At 34.7% G+C, this 19,466-nt stretch overlaps 1 protein-coding gene and 1 pseudogene across 6 annotated transcripts in view; one reads left to right on the forward strand and one right to left on the reverse strand.

Moving 5' to 3' along the window:
- The window catches only part of ARFIP1 (ARF interacting protein 1), a 132,404-nt gene that overhangs the window by 5,755 nt on the left and 107,183 nt on the right, over window positions 1–19,466 (forward strand). For 2 of the 6 annotated variants that reach the window (NM_001287432.2, NM_001287433.2), the window contains exon 2: window positions 5,051–5,167. The exons of the other annotated variants lie outside the window; for them this stretch is intronic. The gene's annotated coding sequence lies outside the window, so the exon portion shown is untranslated. The remainder of the gene's footprint in view (window positions 1–5,050; window positions 5,168–19,466) is intronic. 6 annotated transcript variants of the gene reach the window in all.
- Window positions 10,600–11,179, reverse strand: NSA2P6 (NSA2 pseudogene 6; annotated as a pseudogene).

Here is a 19,466-nt window from a genome sequence, read left to right on the forward strand (position 1 = left end):
TTAATTTGAAAAGTAGGTATTGGGGAATCAGATGAAATATATGAGAAAGCTGTAAACCTGCACTGTCTAATGCCAGGGATGCTAGCCACATGTAGCTATTTAAGTTAGTTAAAATTAAATACAATAAAAGATTCAGTTCCTCATTGTACCAGCCACATTTCAGTGTCAGTATCATATGTGGCTGGTGGCTACTTTATTGGACAGTGCAAATTTAGAACATTTCCAACAACATTGGCCAGCCCTGATAAAACTTTAAAATGCGACATGATATGATGTGATACATAATTCCTATATTGTTGAACCACGAGTTTAAAAATCTGCTACCCATGGTGCCTAGCAGTTTTTGTTTTAGCTGATGAAATGTTATTGCCATGTTCTCTCTCAGCTTTTTGTTTTAACTAAATCCAGATGGTCAAAGTCTAAGTCTAACATTTTTCTTGGATATTTGGGGATTATAGTTAGCTGCTTTTCTAGGATAAAGATGTCAGCTTCATTAAGGGCATGAGTGTTTTCTGTCTGCTTTGAGCTGTAGATCTGTATGTCTTGCTGTCTTGTTGACATCCTTTCTTGAATATCTTAAAGGTATCTCAAATCCAGTATGTCTAAAATGAAACTGATTTCCCCTTCCCTCCCTACAAAACTGCACAACGTTGGTTCTTTCTTTGTTCCTTTTTTCAGTGAATGACACAATTATCTTTTCATTGTAAAATCCAGAAAACTAGAAGTGATCCTTAATTCCCTCTCCCTGATAGATCCAATGATTGAACAAGTTTTTAAAGTCTTACTTTCTACATGACTCTTGAATTTTTCTATTTCTTCCTGTTTCCACTACTGCCACTTCATCTTGCCTGAAACTTTTACAATAGCCTCCATTCTTATCTGTCCTCTCTAATTCATTACCCATCTTGAAGGCACAGTGATTTATTTTGAAACACACATTGGATTATCACTCTCCTTCTTCCTCCCCCAGTGCTTTTATGGCTTTCCATTGCTTCTAGGATCAAAATAAAACTGCTTAACAGCCTTTAGCTCTCCAGACTCATCTTGTACCATGTTCTGCATAACTCTCCAGTTCAACCATGCTGGCCTTCTTTAGTCCTTTGTATGCACCTTGCTCCCTGCCATTTTTGCAAGGCTTTTGTACATGCTTTTCTCTCTGTCTGGACCATTCTTTCTTTACTTTCATTTCATTTCACTTGTTAGTTCCTAGTCATCCTTCACACCTCAGCTGAAGTTTTGCATCCTTAGAGAATATGCTCACTTCCCACATTAAGGTAATAGCATCATACATTTCCCGCAGTTTGCAATTTACATTTATTCATGTGACTGTAAGATTTTCTTTCTGTTCAGTGGCCTATAAACTTCATGAAGGTAAGGTCCATATCTTGTTTTCTTTTTTGGCTCATTTTTGAATCCCTAGAACCTAGCTCAGTACCTGACACCTAAATTTGACTCATTAAATTTCCAAGTTAATGGTATTAAGGATTTCAGTTCATCGAGTTTTGTAATACAAGAATTTGAATATGAATTTTTATAAAAATAGTGTTAAAATGGTAGTACAGTTTGAACATTCCTAATCCAAAAACTTGAAATCCAAAATGCTGCAAAATTCAAAACTTTTTTGAGCCCAACATGATGCTACAAGTACATAATTCTACACCCAACTTTATGTGATGAATCAAAGTCAGAATGCAGGTGTACAACAGTTTCTCCAAGAGAAAAAAGACCTGCCTAGCCCCCTTCAGCTGCCATATATCTTTTCCTCACACAGCCAGATGCACCTACGCAAGCATGCCCGCAAAGGGCAATACAATGCCATGTGTATGTGTAAGAAATGATTGGTTATACGTAGCATATAAATTCAGAGACGGGAATGATAGTGATGTCAAACAACCACAGACTGTCCACATGAGTGGCTGAGATAGTGACACCTTTGCTTTTGGATGGTACAGTGTATACAAACTTTGTTTCATGCAAAAAATTATTAAAAGTATTATATAAAATTACCTTCAAGCTATGTGTATAAGGTGTATATGAAATGTAAATGAATTTTGTGTTTACACTTGGGTCCCTTCCTGAAGATACCTCATTATGCATATGGAAATATTCCAAATGCCAAAAAAATCTGAAATCCAAAACATTTCTAGTCTCAAACATTTTGGAAAAGGGATAATCAACCTGTAATTAAATTTTCAGTTTGACTATTTCTTTCAAGTGTATGGAAATAAATTATTAGGCCGGGCACAGTGGCTCACGCCTGTAATCCCAGCACTTTGGGTGGCCGAGGTGGGTGGATCACTTGAGGTTGGGAGTTCAAGACCAGCCTGGCCAACATGGTGAAACCCTGTCTCTACTAAAAAATATACATATACAGATTAGCTGGGCGTGGTGACCTGCACCTGTAATTCCAGCTACTTGGGAGGTTGAGGTGGAAGATCGTTTGAACCTGGGAGGCAGAGGTTGCAGTGAGCCGAGATCGTGCCTCTGCACTCCAGCCTGGGCGACAGCAAGACTCCGTCTCAAAACAAAAAATGTGTTATTAGTAGCTATATAAAATATAGCAATATAGCACAGTATTCTTACACTATTTTGTAATAGACCCTTTTATTTTTGGATGGTTTTAGTTTTACAGAATTACTGTGAAGATAGAATAGAGCTTCCCATACCCACTTTCCCCTATTATAAGATAGGCTGTGCACAGTGGCTCATGCCAGTAATCCTAGCACTTTGGGAGGTCAAGGCAGGTGGATTGCTTCAGCTCAGGAGTTCAAGACCAGCCTGGGCAACATGGTGAAACCCCATCTCTACCAAAAATACAAAAAATTAGCTGGGCATGGTGGTGCCCATCTGTGATCTCAGCTACTTGGGAGGCTGAGGTGGGAGGATTACTTGAGCCCAGGAGGCGGAGGTTGCAGTGAGCAGAGATTATGCCACGGTACTCCATCCTGGATGACAGAGCGAGACTCCATCTCAAAAAAACAAAAACAAAAACATACTACATTAGCATAGTACATTTGTCACAATTAACCAATATTGGCACGTAATTATTAAAGTCCATATTTTATTCAGATTACCTCACTTTTCCCCAATGTCTTTTTTTTTTTTTTTTTTTTCTGTTCAAGGATCCCATCTAGGATAGCATATTACCTTTAGTGGTCATGTATCCTTTCATTTTGACAGTTTCTCAGATTTCCTTGTTTTTGATGACAAGTTGATAGTTTTGAAGATTACTGCCTGGTCAGGTATTTTGTAGACTGTCCCTCAGTTGGGACTTGTCTGCTGTTTTTCTCATTAGACTGGGTGATATGTTTCTAGGAGGAAGATCACAGAAGTAAAGTGCCATTCCCATCACATCATATCAAGAATACAGACTTTTTTTTTTTTTTTTTTTTTTTTTTTTGAGGTAGAGTCTCACTCTGTTGCCCAGGCTGGAGTGCAGTAACGCAATCTCGGCTCACTGCAACCTCCACCTCCTGGGTTCAAGCGATTTTCCTGTCTCAGCCTCCCAAGTAGCTGGGTCTACAGGTACATGCCACCATGCCCGGCTAATTTTTGTATTTTTAGTAGAGAGAGGTTTCACCATGTTGGCCAGGCTGGTCTTGAACTCCTGACCTCAGGTGATCCACACACCTCAGCCTCCCAAAGTGTTGGGATTACAGGCGTGAGCCACTGTACCTGGCCAAGAATACAAACTATTAATATGACAGTACCATTGATATTAACCTTGACTACTTGGCTTGAGATAATGTTCATCAGTTTTGTCCACTGTAAAGTTACTCTGTTTTCCCCCTCCTTTTGTATATTGTACTTTTTAGAAGAAAGTCTCTCTGTGAAGCACACAATTGGGAATTGGGGAATTATGCTTTACCTCTTTAAGGGTGAAGTGTCTACATAAATTTTTGAAAAATCTTCTATAAGAGTTTTTTGTCTATTCTCCCCTTTCAGTCGTTTATTTATATCAGTCTGACTCATGGATATTTATTTTATACTTAAGGGTAAATCCAGTAGTACTTTATTACTTTGTTGCTCAAATTGTTTCAGCTGTGGCCACTGGGAGCTCTTTTAGTTGGTTCCTGTATTCCTTTGACATACTCCTGTCATTGTGAGACTTTTGTTCTTGTTTTGTTTGTTTGTTTGTTTTTGAGCACTTTTAACTTTCTGGTATTACAAAATGCTCTAGGCTCACCTTGTGTATTACCTACCACAGGCCTAGAATCAGCCTTTTCTCCAAGGAGCACTGATTCCTTCTATTGGAGAATAGTATTAGAAACCAATATCTGGGCACTATGTTTGCTCATTGCTGTTGGAATGTCATTGCTTCTAGGCCCTCCCAGTGGACAGAGTAAGGAAATATATGTGTGTACACTAACTCATGTATATACACATATCTATAAATATTTCTATATGTAACTATATATATGTTAAGCTATATTTTCAGTTTATTTCCTGTGAGCATTTTTCATTAAAAAAATTACCTGTGAATATTGAAGGGGTTTATTTTACATGGTTTTGGGAATTTAGTAACAAAAAGTAACTCTCCAATTATCCATTGCTAAGGGACAAAAGCAGTTCAGATAATACCAAATAACAGGTAACCTGTTTGATCTTTGAATGAAATCAATTACAACAACAGAGATGACCACCTCTCTTGGTTCTTGGTTGGCTTCACTGCTAATGTTCTGGAACTGAGCCATCTATGAAGAATGAGGCCACAGCATACTGAATAATTTAGAGTTAATTTACAGCTAGTTTTCTTTTCAGAGAGTAATTTAGTTTTGAGAGTCTTATCATTTTACTTCTCATTGGTTTCTCTGTAACACAGTCTGAGTGGGGAAATTTAAAAAGACTTCTGCAGACAGTCAGTTTTGTTACCTAAGAGTTGGTTATGGTGGTAGAGATAGGCATAGTTGAAAATCTGTTAGGTTAACTTTTAAATTGTTTCTTATTATGCATATAATTCAGAAGTAACTATTTTGTCAGGGCTTTCTATTTTTGAATTATCTAGACTGATGTGTTTATCTTTTTTTTTTTTTTTTTTTTTTTGAGGCAGAATCTCAATCTGTTGCCCAGGCTGGAGTGTAGTGTCACAGTCTCGGCTTACTGCAACCTCTGCCTCCCAGGTTAAGCGATCCTCCTACCTCAGCTTCCTGAGTCACTGGGACCCCAGGTGCGTGCCACCATGCCTGGCTCATTTTTGTATTTTTTTTTTTATAGAGACGAGGTTTTGCCAGGTTGCCCAGGCTGATCTTGAACTCCTGGGCTTAAGTGATCCACTGGCCTTGGCCTCCCAAAGTGCTGGGATTACAGGCTTGAGCCACCATGCCTGGCCCGATGTGTTTATCTTAATAAGCAACCTGAACTTAATTTATCAATATGTAAAAGAACTTGTAGGTATTTAGCAAAATAGCTTTTACAGATACCAGATAGTTGTTAATATAAAGACAGAAGAATAATGTAAGTTATTCTGTATTATCTTCTTTGGTTATTCTATTTATAAAAATAAATGTAATATACTTTGAACATATTGTGTGGTAAGCCATTTCCATTTCTTTTGCATTGGACAGTAAGGAAAATGATTCGTTTTTCTTCTTGTTAGGAGAACTGTCATCAGAAAACAAAATCATTTTAAATTGTTTTGACTGAAAAGCTTCTATATTTTGGATATTTTCAACTCTGAACATATAGTTTTAAAATGGAGTCATGTATGGTAACTCAATTTTTTATTGTAAACAAGTCAGTTCAACTTGAAAATTAATATTCAGTTACGAAATCAAAACAAGTCTTTTCCAGGTTTTAAGCAATGTCATCTTGGTATAAGCTCTGTTTTCTGAATATAAACCTATTTTCATTGTAATTTCTAAAAATCCAGTAGGTTTCTGGATTTTGTAAAGACGTAAATACAGATATAATTTTGCAAATTTCTTAGTATTTTATTTTGAGGTGAGAATTTTGTTATAGTTTATAAAAGATATTTTCCTCTTCAGACCTCAGGGCTATTTTGGGACCTACAAATAAGTATGACCACCAGCTGCTTCAATTCTTGCTATTCAAAAGGTTAATAGTCTTTAAGTTAAATATAATGTGATATTATTCAACAGAAAGAATATGTTTTTCCTTTTTAACCTCGAACAAATTCTGTATCTGATGTTTAAAAAGTATTTTTAAAAGTTGTGGTAATATAAAAATATGTGGAAATTGTGGCTGAAGCATTAAAAATAACTTGCAAAATAAATATATTCTAATGGTAAAGAAAAAACTGATCTTACCATTCTGTTCCTGTTTATCCATGAATGAGAAAAGATGGGCATATTCCAGTAGATTTCATCAAAAGTGAAAGAAATAGAGCCACTTAAAAAAATCTTTAGAATAATAACTGATCTCTGGAATATCAAGTCTAAAGAAACTAAGCAAAATCACTTTAAAACAAGCCCAAGTTTTGCTACTTTTTGCTCTCAGTGTTTTCTATTTACCTCCTTTTATTGTCCTTGACTCACCAGTCAGAAGTTCTTGATGCTGTATATCATTATTTATAGTACTTTTCAAACTTTTTTTTACTAAAGTACCTTTAGAAAGAGTAATAACCCTTTAGACATTTCTTTGAAGACTCATATTTTATCATAAAAATTCAGTAAATTTCTTTGAAGACTTATGTGTGTTGTTTTATTCAAGTGAATTTTGCTTTAGATTCTATATTTAGTGAAAAATAATGTAAATTCATATTCCAGTATGATGTGCCATGTTTATCTTGTCTGCTATGGTTGTATCTGCCCTCCTGTGTCTTGGGCATACCACTTCAGACCACCTGTTATATGAGTACCTGAATTTGAAAAGCTCCCATTATGATTTATGTTCAACAACACTCCTGCCACAGATCCTTTATCATTAGACTTCTGAATCTTTAAACTCAGTGTTGTCATGGAGACTCTGAAGGGGTTTTAGGGATCCTGGCAAATCTAATACCTCCTGCCCTCTCTTTCCTGGGTGCTAAGAAGACCTTAAATGCATTTAAGAGTGGTAGAGTATAAAACTCTCCCTCACTAAAATTTGGGAAATGATCTTACAAGGTTTTCCTCTGTATAGATTTGGTCTATTCAGTATGTATATATAAAAATGTGATTTTTATAGTAAAATCAAAGCAGCTACAAAGAGTTGGATGGATTTTAAACTTGAGGTGACAAATTCTAATTAATAATTCACTTTGTAGGTCTTTGGTTCTTACACTCTTTTGTTAGCAAATACCTCTGGCTGATTTACAGTAGAACCCCCAGAGATGACTTAATGACATTTTGGCCTCCAATATAACTGGTTTGTGAGGGCTGAACATCAGTGGTGGTTTTGTAATAGTAATTTATCACTCTGTTTTAAAGACAGCTTTCAAAGATAACTGAATTCATACAAAAATTAGAAAATGTATAACCTAAACAGCATAAATTATATAGGTCATTAACTTCTTAAGTCTTGTTACTCCCATGTATTTTGTTATCAAAGTTATAAACAAGAAGACCTTTAAGAAATAAATATGAAGTGGATCAGAGCACTTAAAGAATGAGCCGAGATAGCACCATCGTACTCCAGCCTGGGCAACAAGAGCGAAACTCCGTCTCAAAAAAAAAAAAATGATATATATATATATAATATATATATAATATTTAGTACCTATCTCTGTAATTCTCAGAAATTTGATTTATGTTTCTCTATCTGCCTTGAGTTATTTGGTCTTTTCCAGAGCTGAATGATAATGATGTACAGTGGTCTTCCCATAGTCTTGGGGGAGATGTTCCAAGACCCACATACCTGAAACTGTGGATAGTCCCAAACTCCATATGTACTAAGTTTTCTCCTATACATACATACCTATGATAAAGTTTAATTTGTAAATTAGACACAATAAGAGATTAACAACAGTAATAATAAAATAGAACAATTATAACAACATATTTTCTTAGTCTGTTTGAGTTGCTATAAAGGAATATCTGAGGCGGAGTAATTTATAAAGAAGAGAGGTTTATTTTCAGACCATGGTTGACAGCTGATAAACTGTGGGAAGCTAAAACATGGATAAGGTGGGGGACCTACTATATTTTCCTCATTGGTGCTGTTTTATACAGGCGGTCAAATGATAACTCCTATTTCACAAGAAAGTAAGACAGCAAAAACGAACTGCCTGAACCTTCCATTTTTCCATGTTACTCTTCACTATCTCTACAGGTTCCTTCTTCCTTTATTCTGGCCTCACTGGAAGAGATTTTCTTCTTTTATTTAAAGGGTAATTCCTCTACCTTTGTTCAGAATTTCTTACTGTTTTTAAAAAACTTTTCATCTAATTTTAGACTTGCGGAAGAGCTGCAAAAATAGTAGAGTTCCCTTACATTCCTCACCCCATTTCCCCTAATGCTAACATCTTACATAACCATAATATAATTATTACAAGTAGGAAATGAACATTGATATAATATTATTGATTAAACTATAGCTCTTATTAGAATGAAACCAAATTTTCAACTACTGTCTGTTTTCAGTCCCAGGGTCCTATATAGGAACTCACATTGAATTTAGCAATTTCTCCGTAGTCTCTTTTAAAGTTTCTAACATTTTGCTTGTCTTTTATGACTATGACACTTTTGAAGAATACTAATCAGTTATTTTTAGAATATCTCGCAGTTTAGGTTTGTCTGATGTTTTCTCATGATTGGACTGAGCCTATGCATTTTTGGCAAGAATACCACAAAAATGATGTTGTGTCTTTCTTAGTGCATTGTATTGAGGGGTTTATGATATATGTCTTACTACTTATGATTACTTGATCACTTGGTTGAGTGTGTTGTTTTTACACTGTGAAGTTACTATCTTTCCCTTTTTAGTTGGTAAGTATCTTGTTGGAGCTACGTGGAGACTGTGTAAATCCTGTTTCTCCTCAAACTATTGCTCTCTAATTTTAGCATCTCTCAAGTGGATCTTGTCTGCAGTATTTGTGATATTTGCCTGATGTTGATTGTTTCCCACTTTGCTTCCTATGTTAATTTACTTATCGTCTATTGTGAAGAAGAGTTGTCGCTTTTCCTCCATTTACTTATCAGATTGTTTATATCAATATGGACTCATTAATATTTTACTCCTTGTTTTTGATCTAGTACTATCATTTATTTTGTTGCTGTATTCGTTCCAGCATTGGCTGTTATGGGCTCCTTCAGGTTGGCTCCTGTGTTCTTTCAACAAACCCCCATCTGTTTTTGAAGTTTTCTTTATTTTCTGACACCATGTCAGCATGTGGAAATTACTATGGTTCTGAGAGTCAGAATTATTACAAAATATATCGTGTATCCAGAGAAGTGTCACTCCATCCTTAGCCTTGCTACTCTGTTCCCAAGCCCTTTCACTCTTCTTTCCACCCCTTTCTCACCTGCCCAGGGTAGGTAACCTATCTCTTTAGTTTCTGGTTTATCCTTCCGGTGTTTTTGTTTGTTTGTTTGTTTGTTTGTTTGTTTTTGCTTTTTCAGTAGAAATGTGTATTTTCTTATATCCCCCTTCATTCTTACATGAACATAACATACCATAGGGATTTTTTTGCTTTTTTCAGACTTTGCTTTTTTCAGTTAACACTGTGTCCTGGAAATCACTTCATATTATAGAGATTTTCCTCATTCTTTATTTCCCCCCACAGTTGCATAACTTGGATGTACCATAGTTTATTCAGTCACTTTCCTATGTGCCATATTCCTACCATAGAAAGGTAATTGAATATGGCACATCCAAGTTTCCAATATTTTACAATTACAAAGAATGCTAGAGTGTGTATTTGTCTTTGTATATTTGGAGGTATATTCCCAGGGTGGATTCCTTGAAGTGGAATTGCTGGGGCCAAAGTTAAGTGTATATGTCATTTTGTTACACATTACCAACACTCTCTCTAGAATGGTTGTACCAATTTGTATTCCCATCAGCAATGCATGTAAGTGCCTGTTTCCCTTACATCCTCACTAATGGAATGTTTTGTCATATTTTAAAATTTTTGCGAGTCTAATAGATGAGAAATGGTATTTCAGTGTTGTTTTAATTGGCATTTCTCTAATTTTGAGTGAATTTGAGCGATTGTTACTTGAGGGCCCTTGTAATTTTTTTTTTTTTTTTTTTTTTTTTTTTTTTTGGTGAATTGACTGTCTTTTTTCCTGTATCTGATTTTTGGTCCTTTTTCCCTTTGTTTTGTTTTTTTCCGCCCCATTTTAATGTTTACAAGTTAATAATCTCTTGATGATTGCAGACAGGTATAGCTGTTTGGTAGTACTCAGAAACATTACAGTAATGGTAGTTTTTTCAGTTGGTGTGTAGTGCTCAATAATTATATATAAAATTGCTGTCAAACCAGTAAGACTGCATTTATGCATCCATCATTTTCAGGATTGTTGATAACCTGGGCATATTTCCCCAAATAACTTTGCCTCCCTGTGTCACAAGGCCCACTTCACTCACATTTACCTCAGTGACAGTCTTTAGTAATAACACCCAAAGTTGTATACAGCGGGAATGACGGATTCTTCTTTACACCAAGTATTGGTAGGCAAAAGGTGGCTTTCAGTTCAGGTTGTGTTACATGGACTTTCTTGAAATGCAAGCCCATTGGCCTGATGAATCTTTCATATTTAGGTGGTTTTCTTGTAAAGACATCTCTAGCAAAGCAGACTTCAGTAACCATCCTCTTCCATGCCTTCTTCTTTCTCTTTCCTGTTTGAATAACTTAATGCTTCTGTTTCTCCCTGGGCACATACTTTAGGCAGAGGGACTTCCCATTTTCCCTCATTCTCTTTTCGTTTCTGTTTAATCATATTGGAAAGTACTTTAGCTCGAGATTGTCTCTCTGTCCTGCTGATAGGCAGGTACTGCTCCCTGTGGAATCTTTTCATCATTCTTTTGTTTGGTGTTTCTCTTTTCATGCATCTTGATGGTCTTTTTTATTTGTATTTTCTCAGCATGGCGCTGTTTATGATTAAGCTTAGCCTTCAGACCAATCATTTTCTTTGCCTTCTTTGAACATTCTTGAGCTTCTCGACTTTCCTTCTTTCTCTTTCTCTCATGGTAATCCAAATGGTATAGCATTTATGGTGTAATTCAATATATTCATTCTGTGGCACAGTGACGGCTGCAGAGCACCCAGAAGCAGCCCTTGGGGTGCAAAAATGCTCTCCTTTACCTTTGTTTTTAAGAATTCTTTATATATTAGCCTTTTATGGTGTATGTTGCGAATATTTCATCTTAGTTTGCTTTGCATGTACTATGTGTGTTGTCCAATTAAAAAATTTTATGTAGTCAATATTTTCTTTTATTGTTTCTGGATTCTCCTTTCCCTATACCAACTTTGAGCAGAATTCATCCATTTTTTTCTAGTACTTTCTCTGGTTTCATATTTTATATCTAGATTCCTAATCCATTTGGAGTTTATTCTGGAATATGATGTGAGATAGAGATCGAATTTTATATTTTCCAGATGGATACCTAGTTTTCCTGGCACCATTTATTGAAAAGTCCATCTGTACTTTAGTGATTTGAGATGCCACCTTTGTTATTTACTAAATTTCTGGGTATATTTGGGTCTAATTCTAGACTTTTTAAATTCCACTGGCCTATTTATGTGCTAGTCCCACACTGCTTTAATTATAGATGTTTTTTGGTGTTGTAGTGTTTGATAGAGGTGGTCTCCTTGTGGTTTTCCTTTTTCAATGATTTCCTACCTATTCTTGCGTGTTTGATTTTCCACACAACTTGAATATCAACTTGCCAAACTTTACAAAATAGCTTGTTAGTATTTTCATTGTATTGTATCGAATTTATAAAGTAAGGGAGAAATGACATCTTTATAATGTTGTCATCCTGTCTTAGAATGGGGATATCTTTCTCTTTGCTCAAGTGTTCTTCAGTGTCTTTCAGTGGTGCTGAAATTTTCCTTGTGTAGTTTTTACACATTGTTTAGTTTATTCCTAACTATTTAGTCTTTTTATTGCTATTATAAATGGGATTTTCTCTGCCATTATTTTCCCTGATTATTGTTTTTGTATAGGAGAACATTTTTGTATGTTAATTATCTTGCTACTTCATTGAATTTTATTTTTGAGTTAATTTTATTATTGATTCTTCAAGGGTTTTTAGGCTACCATTATATCATCTGCAAATAGAGATAGTTTTACTTTCTCCTTACCTATTATTCCTCTGATTGATTTTTCTTAACTAGTTGATTTGGCTAATACCGCTGGTATGATGTTGAATAATAGTAGAAATGGCCGGGCGCGGTGGCTCATGCCTGTAATCCTAGCACTTTGGGAGGCTGAGGCGGGTGGATCACCTGAAGTCAGGAGTTCAAGACCAGCCTGGCCAACATGGCGAAACTCTGTCTCTACAAAAAATTAGCTGGGCATTGTGGCAGGCACCTGTAATTCCAGCTACTCTGGGTGGTTGGGGCAGGTGCTGAGGCAGGAGAATCGCTTGAACCCGGGAGGCGGAGGTTACAGTGAGCCAAGATCGCGCCACTGCACTCCAGCCTGGGCGACAGAGCGAGACACCGTCTCAAAAAACAAGAATAGTGGTAGAAATGGTGGGCATCTTTGCCTTTTTCCTGATCTTAGTGGAAATGCCTCTGTTATTTCTTTATTAAATAATTTAATGGTTGTAGGACTAAAATGTATATATTTTATCATGTTGAGAAATTACGTCCTAATTCTTGTTTCTTTGAGTGTTGGGTTTCGAATGGGTGTTGAATTTTGTCACATACACTCCATCTTAGTGGTATGGAGAAAATTGTATGTTTCCTACCTGCCTTAGATTTATGAATACGGTATGTACTAATAGATTTCCTAATTGAACCAATCCTTTACCTCTAGGATAAATGCCATTTGGCCATGTTGTATTATTTTCTTAATGTATTACATTCTGTTAGCAAACAGTAAAATCATTCCCTCCAGTGTATTTCTAGAGTAAAAATTTGTTTCTTTGCATTATTGTAGCTAAAATGGTGTCTGGTACTTATTTGTGTGTATATTTATCTCTGTGATTAGATTCAGAGTGCTTTTAGAGCTGGAACTAGAGTTTACTTTTTATTACCCTTAGTGCCTAGCAGAATTCTTCATATGTAGTTGGTAACATCTAAATTTTACTGAACAAAAATAGAAACAGAAATAGCACATTAAACTTTTCTTGAATGAAATTTGAGTATAATGTTTCACTTAGCAAACAGTCACATCAGTCCTAAAGAGCACTAACCACCACATGAAGGTCAGGGAGATCTGAGTTCTGGTCTGGAACTTTGTTTTACATAGGTCACAAAAACTAACATTTTGGCATCAGACATCACAGTTTTTTCATTTGTCAAATCAGTTGACGCTCTGATCTTTTAAAATCTGTTTCATATCTAAATGATCTTATGAAATTAATTTTTACTTATTGCAGTGTGCATTTTTACATTTTGCCAAATAATTTTTCTGAATTTTTATTTGTCTTTAGAATGGTTTGCCTGTTGTAATGAATAGATATACATATGATTATGGATAATTTTGAAAAGCAAATTCTGAATACAAATAAATTAGTTATTATTTTCCCCATTTTTTAGTTGAACAAATTTAACCTTCAGAGAAATGGCGACTGATTTAGAGGAATTGGTAAGGCTGGAGCACAATATGGGGTTTTCTGTCTCCAGTTACAGTGTTTCTGTGCCAATCTGCCATCTGTTTATGTGACACAGTACTAGGCACAGTGTTTCTTCAACTAAGCCAAGCTACTGTGATTCAGTGTGATAAGTTTTAATGTAGGATTTAGAGCTGGATTATTTATGTTTAGTCCAAAAATCAAAGACAAATTCTTTGCACAATATGTATTCCTTGCGGGGGATTCAGGGTTCCTTGTGATTTAAAATAGCTTGAGTGTTTCACATTTGGCAAAGCAGTGTTGTAGTTACAGGTAATCCTGAGAAGCTAGAGAATTATGTATACGGTACGTATCTTAGTTCATGGATTTGATTTTTTAAGATCAGATCTCTGAATCTATCCTGTTGAGAGATGATCAGAGGAAGATTGTGCATGTGTGTTCTAGGAAAGATTGACAGCCTAGCCAATGATGGGATTCATAAAAATAAATGAAAGTATTCTGTTTGTGGTTTACTGTTGTGAGTTTTGTCTTTGTAATTGTCACTCTGATAGATGCTAAACTAGAAATTTCCTGCTCAATAGGGAGTTAAGTCTGGATGACGGTGATCTGAAGGAAACTACTGCCAAGCAATTGATTGTTCATACTTGTCTGGAAATTAACATTGAAATCCATGTTATGCATTCCTTGTGTTTTTAGCTATACCCAAATATGCAGCATTCATGGGGAACATTCTTATTAAATTTAAAAAAAGAACAGGTACGTGAGTATAAGCTGAATTTATCCTCCAATTTAAAAGCATTATATGAGTTTACAGTTAACAAAAGTACAGTTTAGGAATATTTTATGACTTTAAAATTCCCTACTCATTAGTATTCTACTAATTTAAACCTGCATGTTTAAAACTTATGGGTCAGATTTGTTACCAGAAGAACAGTAGCCTAATAGGCAACATTCATTGAGGGCCTATTAAGTGTCAGGCGTTGTATTAGGTTTTACATATATCATCTCGTTTAATGCTACAATAACCCTGTTGATGTTTTTCTCCCATTTTATAGATTAGGCAACTAAAACTTGGAAAGGTCAACATAGCTTTTAAGGAGCAGAGCTATGATTTGAGCCTCAATGAAAGAAAAGATGAGTAAATTTAGGAAACTGTATAGAAAAAAACTATTTAAAAGTAGAAGCAAGAAATTGGGGAAACAAGCAAATTAGGTATATTTTTATAACAGTGACAACAAAAAAAGCAAAGAAATTGCATTAGATATTTATTAGTTTATCCTGAGATTGTAGTCTTAATTCTTCTGTCTGTCCTTCAATATAGTAACACTAGAACATATACCTATTTCTAATATTTAAGGAAAATATACAGATATTTGCACTCTTCTTTTGTGTAACTCAGACATCTAAAAAGTGAAACGAGTACAGATCCTGCATCCAAGGTCGTATTGTTTAATAGAGGAAATTTAAATGAAATAAAATGCAGAATAATAATTCCTTTAGCGTGGTACAAGTCAAGCATTGTGGCAGTTCAGAGGAGTAGCAGCCAGGAATATCAGTGAAGGTGCCATTTATTCTGAAGTCTTATAGCGTGGGTACAATTTGAACTACTTGAACAAAAGCACAGATAAAGAACATTGAGAAATACGTATGGAGAAGAGTAAGTTTGATTTCATAGGGTATCTGAAGAAACATGATTGGTAGAAAGAAAACAGGTCAGACCATAGGAAGGATTTTGAGTGTCAAGCTGAGGAGTCGGCTTTTACATTGTAGACACATCGGGGAGGGAGACAGACCATGTTAAAGATATACGTAAGTTATTTTATAATGTAATGTAAACTAGTGTTTACTGCTGTAAAGCATAAGGGGCTAGAGTGATCAAGAGTGCTAATTGACATAGATTGGTCAATGGTAGCCCTTCTGAGGAGTTGATGTTTGAGCAGAAACCTAAATGAGGTGAGGAAGAGAATCGTGAAAATCCAGGAGTAAGAATTTTCCAGACAGAGCAAAGAGCAAGAGCAAAAATATTAGTAAGATTGGTGTGTTTGAGAAACAGTGGAGAGGGCTCTGTGGGTAGAACTGCCTGTCAGGAAAGATGGAAAGGAATGTGGTTCAAGATGTAGCTAGCAGCTAGGATGGCTTTCCCTAGAGTAAATGAATTTCTGTATCATCTGTGTTCAGTAATTATCCGGATTTCACCATATTTGCCTTATTCATTCATTTATAATAATAGGTTTGAGAATTACCTTCCTACTGAGGCCATGAAATTGCCAAGATAGATAGAAGAAAGAAAGAAACACAAGGCTGCAGACAGTAACGTTTATAATCATATTTCAAATCTGTCTTGATTGTGGTCTGTTTTAGAAAAGTACATTTAGGGTACCCATAGTGACAAAGTTACAAAGAGTAGCTGTGCTGGTAAATACTAGTATTATTGGAACTACTTCAACATTTGTTCTGTTAGTCTTGAGCTGAAATCAGTGTGCTATAATTTTACATTTGATTTTCACAACAGCTGTGTTATATATAGGTGAGGTTAAAAATCTCATTTTATAAATGAGGAAACAAAGTTATACAAGTAAAGTGAGATGCAAAGGATAAAAAGAGACAGAGCTGGACCTTAAGTCCATGTCTCTTAATATGTTGGTTAGTTCTGCAATTTCATTAAGTAGGCTTATTCACCTAATAGTTTTGAACCATGTTGAATTACCACATTGTAATAAATACATTAACCACTTTTCAAAGGCCATATTTTTACTAATACAGAAGGAAATTCCAAAAACTATTTGAATTATGAATTTAATAGAATTACTTTCTTTTTTCGTAGGCAAAAATCTGAATAATTTCATCTGACACAGAAGGCATTTGTGTTTTTTGGTATTGGAACAAAATATGATCTCTCTTGAGATGCATAATTAGTCCACTAAGCACTGCAGCCTTCATTGTCTGAAGCCATAACTAAAACAGTTAGGATTGAATTAGCTTTGTGTCTTTCTTTTCTTCTTTCACTTTCTTTACTTTCTTCATTGCTTTGCCTGGAATTGACTGAACTTAAGAATTTGATCCTTTAAATAGGAAGAAAATATAACTACTTGATAACAGAACAAAATAGCTACTTGACATATGTAGTTAATAACCTGAACATTGGAAATATTTCACAGTACTTTTTATTGCATTTTCAAATAACTTTAAAAAAATAGTAGATTTAAGAAACAGCTAGAAATACTTTATTATACCACTTTGTTTTTGTTTGCTCAGTGGTAAACTGGATTAAAGAGCAATGTAAATGTGTTTTAGAAAATATAATGTCTTACGCAGTTCCACAAATCTAACCAAGGCTAAGGCAAGTTCTTTTAGATCCTTTCTAGAAAGTTTCTACATTGTTTCTAAGCATTTTAGAAATTACGTTTTACTATGAATAATGTAATGAATAGCAGGAAACTTATTTCTGGTGTGCCTTTCTTTTGCATTATTAAGATAGTGTTTTAGTCTTTGGATGACTCTTATTTTCCATATGGTATTAGCCTATAAATGCTAAATTGTCAAATGTAAAGCTATTTATGTTAGTGTCAAAGTGTATTTTCAGGATTTGAAAAATGTAAGTAGCATGAGAAAAAAAGTACATTGACTTTTAAATTTTAGCCCTGCCTTGGGCAGCTACAGAAAAGGCTATACAGTAGGGGTTGAATTGTCAGGGAGGAGAATTACTGTGTATCCTCAGGGTAAAGATGAAGTTAGTGGAGATTTGTCCACTGTCCAAATTGGCCAGTATGAAGAAAGGAGGGGGAGACTATGGTATGAGAAGCAGCTAGAGAAGTAGGTAGAGGTCAGACTGTAAGCAGTTTTATGAGCCACGTTATCACGATTGTAGTACTGAGAAAGTTTGCTGGAGTGCTGTTTGGTCCACCAAAGGACAGGAGGGAAGCTGTTCTCCCCCAGTGCAGTTGAAATGGGTTACATTTATGACATTGAGTGAAAAGACCCATAGGGCCTGCCAATCTAAGAGGCAATTTATAGCATCAGGCAATTTACAGAATTTCTCACCCTTGACACTATTGACATATTTGGGTAATTTTTTATTTTGGGGAATTGTCTTAAACAGCATTGTACAATGTTTTCCAGCATCTCTGGCCTCTGCCTTCAAAATGCCAGGAGGACACCATTCCCAGCTATAACAACCAGACATTGCTAAATGGTGGGTGGTGGGGAGGTGGTGTCAAAATCCACCCCCAACATCCCCAGTTTGAAAACCACTGAGCTGTCATGATCAATGATAACATGTGCATATTTTTGGGCGGTTGATGCCATTTTCAACAACAGGCTTGTTATCCTGGCACTCCTAATTTCCAGGTGTCCTAGTTTAATTCTGCAACTGCCAACTGCTAGGAGTAGGAGGTTCCTGGATGCAGCTGTCTCTAAGGCTCTGGGATTAGCAGAAGACAGCCCTAATGATATAAATGGAGGTTAATGCATCAGTCTGCAGTTGTTGGAAGTGAAGGGTCAGAGTAAATTAAGAGGGGTGCTGCTCTTAACTGCTCATGATAATATGGAGATAAAAGAAACAACAGTACAAGTTGTCAACATCAAGAAAGCAGTGTGTTTGATTCATATAAATGTCTGAATGTGTATATATATAACATGTATTATATATATTTTATATATATAATATAACATGTAATATATATATTATATATAATATAACGTAATATATATATTATATATAATATAACATGTAATATATATTATATATAATATAACGTAATATATATTATATATAATATAACATGTATTATATATTATATATAATATAACATGTATTATATATTATATATAATATAACATGTATTATATATTATATATAATATAACATGTATTATATATTATATATAATATAACATGTATTATATATAATATATAATATAACATGTATTATATATTATATATATAACATAACATGTATTATATATATTATATATATATAACATAACATGTATTATATATATTTTATATATATAATATAACATGTATTATATATTATATATAATATAACATGTATTATATATTATATATAATATAACATGTATTATATATTATATATAATATAACATGTATTATATATATTATATATAATATATAATATATATAATATATATTATTTATATATATATAATATATATATATATATAGTTGGGAGGGCCTGTTCATGTATTTCAGTCACTCTAGGAGAGGCAGTGTAATATAAAGATTAAAAACTTAAACCAGGTTGCCAGGTTTGAATCCCCACGTCATCACTTGCTAGCTGTGTATCATTAAGCAAATTTCCTAATCTTTCTGTTTTCTTATGTGTGAAGAGTATTGGTGTGAAATAGGAATAATAATGGTACCTAGGTCAGAGATTTGTTGTGAGGTTAAATGAGATAATGCACATAAAGTGAGTAGAATTAAATCAGTTAATATGTAAAATTAATGTGAAAAACATAGACTAGTTCCTGATATATGGTGAGTACTCATTAAATGCTAGCTCTTATTGTTGTAGAGCTTCATTTGCAAGTGGATACATTATTTAAATTAGTTAATTTCCTTAACCTTTTTAGGCTGCAGTCTCCTCATCTGTAAGATTGGGAAAATCATATTTACTTCACCAGGGTAGTTGTGAAGGCTGAATGAAATGATTTATGTAATGTGCTTAGCACAGTGGCTGGCATGTAGTAAACTCTCAATAAAGGCCAGATTTTTAGTGATGAGTGTTAGGATTAGAGTAGGGAACTATGAAGGTATCAAACAAATTTTATAGCATTCTGACATTCTAAAAACTTGCTAGACCATTTCAGAGTTATCACCTG

Source organism: Homo sapiens, chromosome 4, assembly GCF_000001405.40.
Source record: "Homo sapiens chromosome 4, GRCh38.p14 Primary Assembly".
Lineage (NCBI taxonomy): Eukaryota > Metazoa > Chordata > Mammalia > Primates > Hominidae > Homo > Homo sapiens.